General features: G+C 34.0%; 1 protein-coding gene and 1 long non-coding RNA gene across 5 annotated transcripts in view, besides 1 other annotated feature; both read right to left on the reverse strand.

Annotated features, from left to right (window-relative positions):
- Positions 1–15,569, reverse strand: part of HIBADH (3-hydroxyisobutyrate dehydrogenase) — a 137,442-nt gene that overhangs the window by 70,863 nt on the left and 51,010 nt on the right. The window lies entirely within an intron of this gene.
- Positions 6,090–12,960, reverse strand: LOC107986699 (uncharacterized). Its single transcript, XR_001744911.2, has 2 exons — positions 11,960–12,960; positions 6,090–10,226 (listed from the first exon to the last, which is right to left on the reverse strand). It is a non-coding gene; the product is annotated as an uncharacterized LOC107986699 (long non-coding RNA).
- Positions 6,333–7,093: an enhancer, noted in NCBI's record as "OCT4-NANOG hESC enhancer chr7:27642256-27643016 (GRCh37/hg19 assembly coordinates)". NCBI's record gives its function as "activates a minimal SCP1, AML or CMV promoter by ChIP-STARR-seq in primed H9 embryonic stem cells {active_cell/tissue: H9 hESC(primed)}" and the evidence as "EXISTENCE:reporter gene assay evidence [ECO:0000049][PMID:30033119]".

The following is a 15,569-nucleotide window of genomic DNA, read 5'->3' on the forward strand; positions in this document are numbered from 1 at the left end:
ATTATTAATCCATTCACAAGGGCAGAGCCCTCATGATCTAAACAGTTCCCAAAAGTTCCCAAGACTGTTGCACTGGGAATTAAGTTTCTAACACATGAATTCTGGGGGATACATTCGGACCACAACATTCTCCTACATTGTTGGTGGAAGTAAAAACTTTGATGAAAAGACTGGCAACATCTACCAAAATTTAAAACACACATACTCTTTGACCTAGAAATATCATTTCTTAAAATTTCTCCTACTGATAAATTTGCATTTACATGAAAATATCTCTGCAAGAATATTCAGAGTAGCCTCTGTAATAGCAGAAGTCTGCCTACAAAATAAAATATTTTGTAGTAATTTGAAAGTATAAAGTAAATTTATTACAGGCTGAATGTCCCTTATCTAAAATGCTTGGGACCAAAAGTGTTTTGGATTCCAGATTCTTTCAGATGTTGGAATATCTGCATTGTACTTACTGGCTGAGCATCCCAAATCCAAAAATCCAAAATCTGAAATGCTCCAATGAGCATTTCCTTTGAACATCATGTCAGTACTCAAAAAGTTTCAGATTTGGAGCATTTCAAATTTCAGATTTCATATGCTCAAGCTGTATATATGAAAAGATATATGAAATTTTAAAAAAGTAATTTGCAAAAAAATCCCATTTGTTTTTTAAAAAAGTGTGTATATGCATATATATGCAATAAAAACTTTTTTTAAATATTAAGGCAAGTGTTAAGGAAAAAGTAGATGTAGAGAGTCTTAATTTTATTAAAAAATCGGAAAAAATAAGCAAAGAAAATAAAAATTAAGGCAGGAATAAAAGTACATAGAGAAAGATTTTAAAAAGAGACAGCGTAGCACAAAAACCTGATGGCCCTATAATTCATATATTTACTTCCAAAAAGGATTTTGAGATAATCTGTAAGATGACAGAAACATATGCACTATAAGCACTAAAAGGAAGGAAGGCAGGTCTCTCATGTATACCATTGTATTCTCAGTGCCTACCAGATAGTAGGGACTAAATAAATATTTTTTAAGCTAAAGACACAAGTGAAAATAGAAACCACACAGAAAGAGGGAAGGCCAGGGGAAAACGATGATTATTATTGGGTACCAAAGTGTAGCTCCGAGCTTCCCATAGACTCAGTAAAAAAAAAAAAACAATCATGATGCTCGGAGTCAATAATCCTGTATTTTCAGGCTTAGAATAATGTGCTGGGTACAGAGGCTACACCACTATAAGAGGCACTACCAGAATCCCCCAAACCAGACTCCTTTGCATCCTGTATCTCAGATGCCATAATCATAGTCAAAGACATGAGTGGACTCCAGATACCACTAAGACCACTTACTGTTTTGATCATAGTTCACTACTTTCCTCCAACACCAATAAAAAGAGGGGCTTAAGACTGCAGATGCTGCTGCTATCTTATTTTGCTCCTAACTACTGAAGGAAAGAATACCTATAAGATAGAAAATAAAATATAAAGGAATTTGAAGAGGGCGTTTCAGATCCAAGATCAAATTTTGATTACCTGTATTAGTATAAGAAAATATTAATGGCAAATAGCTGAGATGGAGGATAATAAAAGTTTGCGAATCACCCCACAGACTCAGTTCAGGCTATAAATTTACTCCCAGTTGTGTCAAAGCACATCTGCAGTGGGAATCACCCAAGAAAGAAGAAAGAAACTCTGTCTCTAAATGCCAAGCAATGTGATTAGAATCTCCTACTTGTTTTTAGCAACAAGTTTATTTGTTGGGAGAATTTAATCAATCAAAAATTTATTTCCATCCAGTAGGTAAGTGGTGGCTAACAGCTTTCAACACAAGTGTAGATAAATTACAGACTGCATAAAAGCTATTAGAAGTACACAATTATCTAAAAATACTATTAGTCAAACTAATCAGAATAAAACTAAAGATTGCTATGCTACATGAATGGGAGAATTGAACATTTTATTTCTGGAATATAAAAGAACCACATAACTTCTTTGCTTTTATTTTCTTTTATAAAATAAGGGCAATCCTTCATTATCTAGATATTTCTCTCTAGAAGTTATGAAGAAAAATGTTTGACTATTTCTACCATTTGTTTTATTTTAGACAAAACTAATAATCAATCCTGGTTTTTATTCCTAAACCTTTGTTTTAAAGAAGGAATAAGAATCACAAGCATCAATTAGAAGTACACATTATTATTGCTGGTCTGCTTGTGGACTTGTTTGCTTAATGGTTTGAATACTATGATTCCATTTTCTTCAGGAAACTGAAACGAACAGTAATCTTTCCAGAATAAACTTCCACCAAGCAGTTTTAGTACAACATTTATCATACCTAGCAAAAATACCAGAGGACAACTCCATCTGCCACAACAAAACAGAGAAAGATAAAGGTCTCCAAACACTTTCCCAAAAAAGGGCCATATACCTAACACCACTGCAAGAGAAATGCAATCTGCACTTTGCAGACCTAGACAGGAATTGCTTCAATACTATCTTTTCCCCTCTTCCTCACCATAAAAACTACCCAACCCTAGTCATGAGGTACAGATCTACATCCCAAGACTCTTAGAAGATTAGGAACCTACAAATACCAACAAAGACAGGAAACAAGGACTTCTTTCCCATACAAGCTTTATGTACTGAGTGAGCACTGAAAAAAAAAAGAAAAAGTATGACCACCAAGAGGCATAAAGTGAGTACAATTCAAACTCGACATACAGTAACATAATCATCTATGTCAAATGCAGAACATCTTACAATGATATGTGATTGCTCCCATTCAAAAATTTTAGTTCGTTACGGAAAGGGAATAATTAAGGACCCCTTCAGAAAGCAAACATCATATCAAAAATGTGTTCACATATGATGTATGTACCAATTAGTCCGTCAGAGTTGTTATTTTGGATCCAAATAAAAAAGTTTATCAAATGCATTCCTTAGGTTGAACTTAAAGAAGGATTAAAATGAAAGAACATTTTTTAAAGGAATTTCTATAGAAAATGCAGAAAAATAGCAGAGCCAATTAGATCAATTTCCCTTCCCAAACTTTGTTTTAAATCCTTTGTATTTCAATTTTTAATTAGTTTTAAAAATTGATGGCCGGGTGCGGTGGCTCACGCCTGTAATCCCAGCACTTTGGGAGGCCGAGGCGGGCTGATCACGAGGTCAGGAGATCGAGACGATCCTGGCTAACACGGTGAAACCCCACCTCTACTAAAAATACAAAAAATTAGCTGGGCGTGGTGGCAGGCACCTGTAGTCCCAGCTACTGGGGAGGCTGAGGCAGGAGAATGGCGTGAACCCGGGAGGCGGAGCTTGCAGTGAGCCCAGATGGCGCCACTGCACTCCAGCCTGGGTGACAGCGAGACTCTGTCTCCAAAAAAAAAAAAAAAAAAAAAAAAATTGATTACAGCTGAACAACAGAAAGTAAAATAATACAAATAAAACCAAATACCAATTGTTTAAAACATTCAGTTTTTTTTTAAGGGAAGTTTTTTTTCTTCAAAAAAGGTTTGCATGGAAAATTGTAAGTAAATGTTTGTTGGTCCTTTATAATTGTATATATTGTCTTATAATCACACAAAAAATTCAAAATTCAGACATAAGTAAAAGGAATGCTATATCACATTTTTGTTGCCAATGGGAAAAAAAAATCAAAGTTTAAGTTACTATGGGATATGGAAGAAGTAACAGAGATAAGTAACTTCTTATTTCTCAGATGCTAAAATGTTTTGACGGGGTCAGGGAGTTCTCTCCCTTAAACAACAAAAACAGAATGGGTCTTCTTTCACATTTCTTATTTTTCTTCACCTTTATTGCTATGGTTTTCCCATATCATCTCTCCTTCATGAAAACACTGTCATATGTTCACTTAGCATACTTCCTAGAATATAACAATCTACCCTTTTAAAGTTACAGCCTCTATCTTCAAAAAACACATCACTCAAAACATGCATAAAGATCAAGAATTGTTCTTTTTTTTTTTTAAATGAAGAATCTCATTATCATAAGGCATTTTGGTTTGAAAAGATAACATCATTGAAGTCAGGCAAAGCTAAACTTGACCTTGGTCCTGCCATAATCAAACAACCCACTAAAGGTCTTTGCCAATCCAACCAACCACAGGAAAAGAGTAAAATCACACAAAAATAAGAGTTGGCTAAACTCCAGTTTTCATCACTATCTAGTTGGGCAATTTTCTGGCTAGCAATAATCCTTATTCCCTTGGAACTTTATCCCAGTAAGGGTGAGGGTCAGAATATATTTTCAAAAGTAATTTTCTCTACTCATCCTTTTCGAAACCTTTCCTTTCACAGCAACCTATCTAGTAAGCATTTCTAGAAACAATTTAGTATATAACGAGCCAGGAATCTTTAGAATAAGAACAAGTTGAAATGAAAAGGTCTTCAGACACTACTTCTAAAACAATCTGGAAACTGGTAGATGGCTCTTCTTTAGTGCTCTAAGCTATAGTAACAAAAATACTGGTTTATATTTTACTTTTGAACACACCAATGTAAGAAGAAGAGCCTCTTCTTTACTCTTCTTTCCAAACTGCTGACAATCTTATTTGGTGCAAGAAATCTATGAGTTATGAAGCCAGACTTACCAGACTACTGAATTCTCGTTCTTAGAATATGTAAAATCTATTGGGTAAGTGGGTTTTGGTTTGTTTTCCAAAAATACACTAGCATTTCGTACTTTGGATACTTGATCTTTGCAAAATTCAGACAAACACTGGCAAAGGAAAATGTTATAAACATCAGATTTTCTTACAGCCTTCAATGAAACCTATGTATAAAACTGTAAAAGTTAAATCATGATGAGTATGGGCCGGTTGATTGGATCTTTTTAACATAATCTAGAAAGTATCTTTCACTGAGTTCTCTTCAAGATAAAACTATTACACACACCTCACACTCTTGAAGGTCCTCTGTTTAAAGTTGTTGGAACAGATTTCTTTTGATGAAACTACTGAAAGATTATATATATTGAGAGGGATTAAAAATACTAACAAGATGAAAAGCATCAGTTACCAATATAATTCTTTCAGTACAACACCAAATGATAATTGCAATGCCTAATTAGCACTGAATAGTGTATTTTATTATGATTGTGCAATAAGCTTGATACACTGTTAATCATGTATTAACGTTAAATACCTATACTATAAACGTGCTAAAAAAAAGCTTATCAGTGATTAATGTTGAATACTGAAATTCTCATTGATATTTTGTAAAGGTCAATTTTGGGTATTTAAAAAGTTATAAAAGTGCATTTAACTGGGTAATGTTGGAAAATAAAAATTTAAAAATTTAAGGTAAAGGGGAAAATACGTAAAGCTGTCCTGTGTACTCATATTATGATTAATAACTAAATAAGGTATTCTGGCTTTTTAATAATCCAATTGCTAAAAGACCTATGAAGGATATTATGTTAGAAGGTTAAAAATTCTGGTTTTCACTTGTTTATACATGTTTGCCCTTTTTGTTCCTTTAGTTAACTAGATTAAAGCACTTAAAACCAAAAATAAAATTACTTTAGATTACCTATGTGAACTTTTTTTGGTTAGCTAATAATTCTTTCTATATTTTGATTGTGGGTATTGTGTGGGAGTGGGGTCATTGAATGGTGTGATATCGATAGAACAAGAAAAAGTATTTTTCTCTATTTTGTTTTTAAATGAAACAAACCAAAGCCTTTTAGTTATTCTAGCAACCCAAAGAAACTCCAAACTTGAATGTATTAGTCTCCTGCAATAATATTGAAAATCCTCTACCTAAAATGTCTTATTTTTGCTAAATCAGGCTAATTCTTAAAATTGCATATTGTCCTATTGTGCCTTCCTGAGACTCAACTTCCTCACTGAAAAAAAAAAAAAGAGGATAATCTGCATTTCATGGGGATGCTATAAGGATGAAATGTTTTAAAATACAGAAACAACCCAGTGTGATAAACTGACACACAAAAGGTACTTAATTAATCAGTTGACTTCTAGAAAATTCTGCACTATAAAACTTTAAGGTGATTAGAGATGTTTTGAATCTACTTATTGATAAGGCTGTGTGCATTTTCACACTTTCCACTCCGTTAAGACTATCAGATTTTATTCCAAGAAAGAGTGCAGGGAAGAAAAAGCAGCAGGCAAAAACTGAAACAGAAAAACAACATGGATGTTGTAGCTCTTACTTTCATTCTCTTATTTTTAAAAATAAACTTGACTTTTCATCCCTCTTGTTACCTATTTTTCAAAGAAATACAAGTTTCCTTAGTCTTTTAGTTTTTAGAAGCCATGTTTAGAGCTAAGCTGATATACTATGCCAAAAGTACACTTAAAACTGGGTATCTTCATTGCTGAACGTTTTACATTACAAGGCGTCAGTCTTTAAAAAAAATTTTTTTAAACCTGAAGATTACTGACAAATAAGCATTCTCTAACAATTATGAATTATTTCACATCATTTTAAGGTTTCACTTGATCAATTTTACATGCAAACGTACTTTCTCATTATTTACTCTTTCCTACTATGTTTCGCATGCCAAAAAAAATCCACTAATAGATTATAAACTCTGCTTGCCAGTTCCCTTCTCAACAACCTCCATCCATCCCAGCACCCACCCATTCCCAAAGAGATACCCAGCATTGTTTATGTGGAGTTGGAAACAATACACTCCCCACTGCTGGTTAATTTACATCAGATACAGCCAGGCCCAGGAAGCAAAGTGCCTGTCGTTTTCACCCCTTTTTTCTTCTCCCTTGCTTGCTCATGCCCCCTCACCCCTTTTAATTTAAATTACTCGTTTTAACTTAAAAACTTCTGGATGTTTTATTACCTTGGCAGCTTTTTCTCTGGATTGACTAAAAAGGTAAGTTTAAACAGTTTTTGTCAGTTAATATCTCTTCTTTTTTTTATATTTGTATCTGACAACCAGAATCCATAGTGTTAAAACTGCAATGATGATGCTGCTGCATTTTACCAGGCTAACTCAGGTTGGGCACAATTTCATTGTTTTTTTGTAACCTAAACATACAAAAAACAAAAATGTTACTTTGCATGCAGTTAAATTGGTTGTTCTCTAATCATCTCTATCTCTACAATCTTTATGTGCTCCTAAGGGATATAAAAAGATTTTATGTTAGGTTTTGTTGTTTTCATTCTTTATTTTTTTAACCATAAAATATTACACATGCAGATACAGTAAGTCATTGTTTCCTTGCCTATATATTTATAGAAAATTACTAAAAATCTAGTATTAAAAATACTATAAAGCCAAAATGCCAGCTTTTCTTTGAAAGCCACATTAACTGTGTCCTAATCAGTTTTTCTAAATTTCAGATATTTAAAAAGAATTAAATATAACATCTTTAATAACATGTATAAAGCCATTTCAAAGACTGAAATCCTAACTCTCAAATTTCACTAAATTAAATTTTATCTAAAACCAAGTAAGTTAAACATATTCCACTGTACATTAAAAATAAGATATGCAAAGACTCCCCAGTGTGTGCAAATGATACCAATAATTAAGAATCACATTTCGAGCTTTAAAACACTTCTATCTAAAAGAATCCAAAAGTGTGAGTAAATTGCTTTGACTGCTAACATTTACTTTCTGTAGTACTTTCTCTCCCCTTTTCATCCTAGCTCTCACCCCCACACCAACACACATACATAAAATAGATCATTTAGGCCAGTGGTATTTCAGTACATCGCCCCTCCTCCTCCACTTAGACAGTATTGCCTTTTATATCTATGTGGAGGTTCCCATGGCAACACTCACTTACACCAATACTATTTCCAACTGAAATGAGAGAATCCAAAATCTAAATGCTTCATTACTAAATAACATATACCCTAACAAGTAAGAATTGTTTTTCTCATTATCATTATTTTTCAATGTTTTTAGATTTCTGGAATTTCAGCAAAAAAATCATTTTAATATTATAGAAATAACTAGAAAAACAGTCATTGTAGGCAACTATATGTATGCATATCATTACATGAGATTTGTATGTGCTTACTCTTACTGCATAAAATTGATATGCTGAGCCAAGAAACCTCAATTATAATTATGAATAGTAAGTATAATTTTTACTAGTCCAGTTTACTCTATCAAATTTGATTTTTTTTTTTTTAATGTTGGCTACATAGCTCACAAAAGACCCTGGTGAGAAATTCTAACACAACAAGCCAAGAAGCAATTCATGGACAGCAGGAGGCAATTCCAGAACACAGGCATAATCTATAAAGAGAAACCTCTACAGCTTTTTGATGTTAAATAAGTAGAAATATTAGCATACAACAAAGCTAAGAAGCAGACTGTTGCATCAAGTTTAAAAGTAAAAATTTCAGGGTCAAATGTCATGAGTACCTTTGTCTAGACTACTTTCAAAAGTGAAATTTCCTAATTTTTAAAACCAAAAGGTCTCTTTTGGTAATACTGAAGGGTGCATATATTTAGTTTTAGTACAACACACATTCTCATCAAGTTATTCAAAATATAAGGGAGGGGAGGGTTTTGCTTTTAAGTGGGAACATCAAGGTGGGAGGTCAAACATTTACTTTGAAAACATATACATTTCTTAAAACAGGTTGTGCACATTAAGAAGCCTCAGAAGAGGCAAGAGTATAAAATGAGTAGCACTAAGCTTTTTGCTAAATGATCAAAGCTAAGCATTAAACATCACTCTGCATGGTGAATACATTTTTTAAAAGAATAAAAATCAATAGAATATACACTGAGCTTTATTTATTCTGACAACATATCCTATCACCTGGATAGCTGTATTAAGTAATTTAATTGTTTCTGCTACAGTTTATTAACTTATATTTATGGGTTCATAAAAATAGAACATGAATACGTATTTTAATGAAAAAAATCACACTTTTATAAAATTTATAATGAGCCTTTTTTTATTGTGCTTTTTACATTATCACTGTTTTAAAATGAGCTGATTCAAAAGACTATAAAGACTCCCTGAAAAACAGTACAGGAAACTCAAGAATTTACTTTCCCAAAAACAGCTTTTAAGACATGAACATGAACTGCCTAATGAATCTCATAGTTAGGCTTGTGAAAAGGACCAACTTGCACCTTTCAGAGGTTTCTCCCTCTTTTTAAAAATTCCCATACAGTAAAACCTGCTGACACTTTTTTTTTTTTTTTTTTTACAAGACCCAGGGAGGGGGGTGGAATCTTGCCACATGGTGGGGGGCGGGGATTTGAAATATTTGTGAGAATTTTTATACGCTGGATTCCCCTCTCCAGTGTTTAGACAAGCAAAAAAAAAAAAAAAAAAAAAAAAAAAAGCCAAATGTTAAATGCTTATTTTACTAAATGAAAAATAGCAATCCCCTCCAAATATTTCATTTTCATTTACTTTCGTTTTAATATCAACAACCTAAAAACAAATATTTAGAGTTTAGAAATCTTTTCAATTCTTTGCAGATACTTAACCTTGATATCAGATGTAGTTTTCAGTCAACTTCAAAAGTAAAATCGTTATATCTTTAACAAAAAATAATATATTTTATAATCCTTTTATCATTAGCAGGTTTGGATGCAATGCCACCTGGTGGCACAGATAAATTCTTAGCTGGACTTAGGTTTTTGGAAACTGAGCTGTTCTATGAAATACTAACCAACTCTTCTGACTACTCTAACCTCCTCCCAAACAAGTTATTCATCCCACAGTTTAACAATAAATGATCATTTTCATTTCAAAAATTTTAAGATTTTTAAGCAATTAAACTGTACATATGCACATGACAATTTCCTCAGCATTTAAACATCATAAAACATTTTTTTCATAAACCAAAATTATACCAAAGATTTACTTTTTAAAAGTTGAAATGTTTAAATATGGGGGAGGGGGTAAGATGGAGTAACCAAGTTGCTTTGTAAAATTACACTGTATAATTAATTCCATGGTAAGAATGTTTTTATGGTGTGTTTTGGTGACCTTTTATGACCATCAAGTTCACAATGCTGGTGGGCTGCCTTTTAATCCCTCCGCAGACAAAGGCCCTAAATAAACACAGATCCCTTCCTGGGAAAAAGTCCACTCTGGTTAAATGGTAAGGAAATGAGTAAATCATTAGTAATCTTTAAAGCCAAAGCTATAAACTCAAGTTACCTTAAGTTGAAATGAAAGTGTCCTGCAAGAGTTTCAAAGTTCTGTCACAGATAGAAATCTCCAGCTCTTGACTCCAGACTAGGCGCCAGCTGATAAACAAACAATTTAAGTCAAGAGCTGGAGAATTCCCAGCTTTTTCATTTAATGGCTTTGGCCAAGAGTATTTATTGCCTCCAGTTTTATTCTCACTTAGCTCTAAGAGGAAATTTAAACTCATCATTATCTTAAAGCCCCATATGGGTAGCAGTCAGCTCACCTGATAATAGCTCCTCTTACTCTGCACTGATTGTTGAGTCTCTACTAAAAGTGATGTAATAATATAAACTAATTAACCATAGTTTTAGGTTGACTTTTTAACAGGCTAAATAAATTTTGTTCAATATAGTTTACATTCCCACTTTGGATAGTTACAATTCCAAAAAGTTAAACTTTACAGTTTTCAGTAGAAACTACCAACTAAAATGGAAGAGGACAATGTAATCTCTCTCTCATTCTTGCATGCTCTGGTCTCTGGCACCCCCACCCCCTAACCCTTGTTCACTAGCTCCTCAATATTGCGTAAGGTAACTTTTCTGTATCAAATGTAGACTTTTCCTATTAGCTTGAAATATCCAGTGTTGCTCTATTTCCTAACAGAGCAAAGTGCAGGATTTAAGATGTAAATGCCGAATCATGAAAAGCTGTTGATTTTATATGTGTACTAATAAGAATGTAAAAGTTCAGTCCAATTAAAGACCATAAGATGTCATCAAACCTTTCTAAATGCTGTATTTAAAAGTCTGCGGCTGGGCGCCATGGCTCACACCTATAATCCCGACACTTTTGAGAGACCGAGGTGGGCAGATCACCTGAGGTCAGGAGTTCGAGGCCAGCCTGGCCAACACGGTGAAACCATGTCTCTAGTAAAAATATAAAAAATTAGCCGGGCATGGTAGCTCATGCCTATAATCCCAGCTACATGGGAGGAAGAGGCAGGAGAATCATCTGAACCCAAGAGACGGAGGTTGCCGTGAGCTGAGATCACGCCACTGAACTCCAGCCTGGGCAGCAGACCAAGACTTTGTCTCAAAAAAAAACAAAAAAAGTTTGCTATCAAAGATTACAGGTCTCAAAGTCAGAATTATGTCGCTGCTCTTATTCCTTTCTCAAAATTATCATTTATTTTTAGAAAAACCTCACCTCTACCCAGGATTTTATATGGAAATAATTATTTTAACTATCTGAATGTTTGTAGATATTTAACAATTACAGTAAACTAACTAGCCTCCTTCCTCCAGCTGCTTATCTAATGAAAGAATGCTGCAAAAAAAAAAAATGTTATAGCCTAAGGTAAAGGGTTAATAAAATATGCCATTAGTGCATAGAAAAATACTTTTCTTCCCGTTTCTTAATTTTCACAAAGTTTTATAAAACTATCTTGGCTGTAAAAGCCAATTAACTATTTCAGTGTCTGCCAAGACTAGTTTCTATTCTTTTAATATATGGACATAGTACATTAAATATGTTGGTCACTTAAGAACAAGTACTACTCTCACACATAAGAAGCATTAGGGGAAATGAAATGTAATTAATGATAAAATTATTCGTATTCTGGCCTCATACTAAGTTTGATTTTTTAAAATCTCCCTAGGTACAATGTCCTCCTAGAGGCTGTAGTAGATAAACAATTATGATAACCAAAACTAACAGTCAATAATAACTCAAAGCAAAAAGATGTCAGATACTAATGTTAAAATTCTTAGTACTCTTTTAAAAGAAATCCACATCTTTCCTATCCCTGTAGGTAACCTAAGCTAAATGCAAAAAAACAACAATCTTCTACCTTCAGGTCAGGTCAAAATCCCTCCAAGGCAAAAGACAGAAGGCATATCTGCTGCCATACTTTCCTTGGACCTGAAGGAAAGATGACTACTATGAAATTTGCATGTAAATTTAAAATGTTCACAACTACATCACCCAAGCAATGCAAAACAGAATTTTATGGCAAATACATAGAAAGACAGACTTAAAACTTAACGTCATATACTTTTCATCTGTTAACATTATCAAACCTCAAGAAAATCGGACTTCTTGAAAACTTCAAATAAGTCTGATAAGGTTTCAGTTTGATTATGGTAGCAAGGCCCTTGTCAAATTCTCAATTACATCTCCTCCTCCCACCTCACTGCCAATGCTATCCAGGGATCACAAACAAAACAAAATGAAGACATATAATACATAGAGTATACTGGAACTAGTTTCACATTGCTTAGAAATCAATAGATGTTAAAGAAAAATAAATTGTACATAAGTAATAGCTTCAGATTTATTTGCTAAATTCACCTTTATATAAACAGGGCTCAGTAGTCCTAAACTGTGACCAGACCCAATTGTGTCTGACTTACATCCTGAATGGCAATTAAAGGACATTAAAAATACCCTGGGATTACTTCAGGCAGGACCCCTGCCTTATCCATATACTTTCCAGCATAACCATGTAAAGAGAACACAGGTTCCCCCTCTACCACAGAATAGAGCCTGGCAAGAACAGCTGGTGTCATGGTTACTTGATTGGAAATTACAGTGCAATTAAAATTTGGCCTTCAGGTCTGGAGATAAAGGAATTGCAAACTGCAAAAGTAAATTTTTAGAAATAAAGTAGCTTGTTGTTGGCAATAATAGTAATTATTACTAACAATAAATAATGAGAGCAATAATAAAAAATACTGTAAAAGTGATCACCTTGCCTTCTCTAACACATTCTTCTGTAATTTTCTTAGGCGACAAACTGCTGGAGCTGCCTCAACCATGTTATCTTGGGCAGTGAGTCACCAGTCTTCTTTGAATGTGTTAAGAACTTAACACCTTATATATGAATTACTGTCTATGACAACTGTTGCAAGGCAGTCTTAGGCATGCCAAAGAATGTAAAAAGAGATTTTTATGGGCACCTCTTCTTCAGGACTAATTTCAAAGAAACCCTTGGAATTTATTTACCAAACATTTCTGAACTACTTGTGCAAACTGTAGAAAATCCCAGGCTAAAGATATTCTCCAGAGACAGAAAGGATACTTTATGGATACAGAGTGATAAGTAAAATTATGGGAAAATGTAAATGGCTAACATAATTGACCCAGTTCTGTGTACTAGTACTGATGAATCTTAACTCATTTCTAAGGAAATGGATTTGTCCCTCAAAGTAAGGTATACTTTAATTATAAGAGTTACTAAAGTTTTAAATAATAGCAAGTCAGACCAAGGAAAGTCTTATTTTATTTAATTTTTTTAAGATAATGTAATTCAAGCCTTTCATATAATAGTCAACGCACTAAGTACTTTAAATTTTATAATAAATAACAGCAGTTGCTAATTAAAAAGTAAGTTTTTAAAAATTTATTTATTTATTTATTTTTTGAGACAGAGTCTTGCTCTGTCGCCCAGGCTGGAGTAGACTGTGCAATCTTGGCTCACTGCGACCTCAGCCTCCCAAGTTCAAGCGATTCTCCTGCCTCAGCCTCCTGAGTAGCTGGGATTAGAGGCAAGCACCACCACACCCGGCTAATTTTTATATTTTTTTAGTAGAAATGGGGTTTCACCATGTTGGCCAGGCTGGTCTCAAACTCTTGATCTCAGGTGATCTGCCCACCTCAGCCTCCCAAAGTGCTGGGATTACAGACATGAGCCATCACGCCTGGCCAAAAGTAACTTTAAAATACATAATAGTACTATAACTCTTTAAAGACAGGAACCCATGGAGATGAATTATTTTACCAAAATATTTCAAATCATTTTTAAAAATTTTCTTAAACAGCCTTATTGAGGTATAATTGATATACTGCACATATTTAAAGTATACAATTTGGTGAGTTTGGACATATGCAAATACCCATAAAACCACCACCACATTCAAGGTAATAAACATTTCCATCACCTCCAAAAGTTTCCTCATGCCCCAAATGTGGTGGTGGTGGTTGCTTTGTGGTAAGAACACCTATCCTGGTATCTACCTTCTTAACAAATTTTTAATACTCAACACGATATTGTTAACTACAGGCACTATGTTATACAACAGCTCTCCAGAACTTATTCATTGTGTGTAACAAAAATAAATTCTTACTGAGGTAAGAATAAAACATAAGAATAAATATCACATACAAGACTACTGTATAATCGAAGCACTTGTGAGAGTATCAAAAAAAGACCTATTCTGATAGCCCTTCCCCCTCCACACATTATAAACCAAGGCAATTTCAGTTATATGAAATTTGATGGAAGAATTTGCTTTTGGACAAAAACAGCAATGTTTCAGCCCAAAGCCAAGTAAAACTGCCAAGTTATAAACTTCTCTAAGAAAACGTTTTAATGGAAATGCCAAAAGACCCTTAACTATAATAGTGTTAGGTGCCAAAATAGAAATAATTTTTTGTGGTCCTTTTACCATAAATTAGATACAGATCTAGTGGAAAAACAGTAGGTATCCAGTTCAGTGAGCAGTAAGGGCCAAGCCTGCATGGTTGATTTTAAAAACAATAATGAAGTCTATATGAAACTCACTGAGATTTACCAAGCAAGCCTACCTCTCTAAGAGAAATTTCTTAATAGGTTTTGTGCTTATTCTAAGAATGCCTCAAACAAATTACTAAAACTTAACTCAGCCAAGTAGAGTATAAAATTTGGTTTTCTGGTATGGAACTGTTATACAAACACATACACACAAGTTCAATTATTTAATTTTGACATTAATTCCTACCTAGAACAATACAGTTTAGCAAATCAATGAGGCGTGCCAACATGCAGTGCCTGGGGCTAACTACAAGCGCCACTTCAGAGTCACTTCAACTTAAGGTCTCTGGGCAAATCTACAGATGTATTAGGCAATCAGTGAGTTTATTCTTCAATTATTCAAGCACAGCTATAATGATGCCCTGGGAGCAGACTGAACAGTATTTGGTCATTAGTCACTAGCAATAGTTTTTAATTTAGTTTTAATTTGCTGTATGTCTAGCATTCATTATAGACGAGAGCTGATCAAGTTGGAACCAACACTGTGGTAGCAGACCCACTGCGTGTGTGCGCGCACACACACACACCCACCCACCCACACACGTGTATGTATCCAAAATGGCATGACTAAACAACATGAGACATTAAATAAGGATTACAACTTTCATAAAAATGTGATTTGCACAAGTTAATAGGGCATCATACTTATGAGACCTGTGTCATGGGCTAATTTATATAAAGCCCAGTTCACTTTACTTTGGAAACAACAAACTAATAAACAAAGGCATGGTATTAGACATACGGGGAGTCAGGTACAGGTTATTCAATTGAACAAACTCTGAGTGAAACAACTGCTAAGTCTGGTGATACAAAGATAAATGTTCCATGAACACACCAAGCTAGTTCAATGCCTCAGAGCCCTTACAGAGCAACTCCTTTCAGTGAAACA

Source organism: Homo sapiens, chromosome 7, assembly GCF_000001405.40.
Source record: "Homo sapiens chromosome 7, GRCh38.p14 Primary Assembly".
NCBI classification, from domain to species: Eukaryota; Metazoa; Chordata; class Mammalia; order Primates; family Hominidae; genus Homo; species Homo sapiens.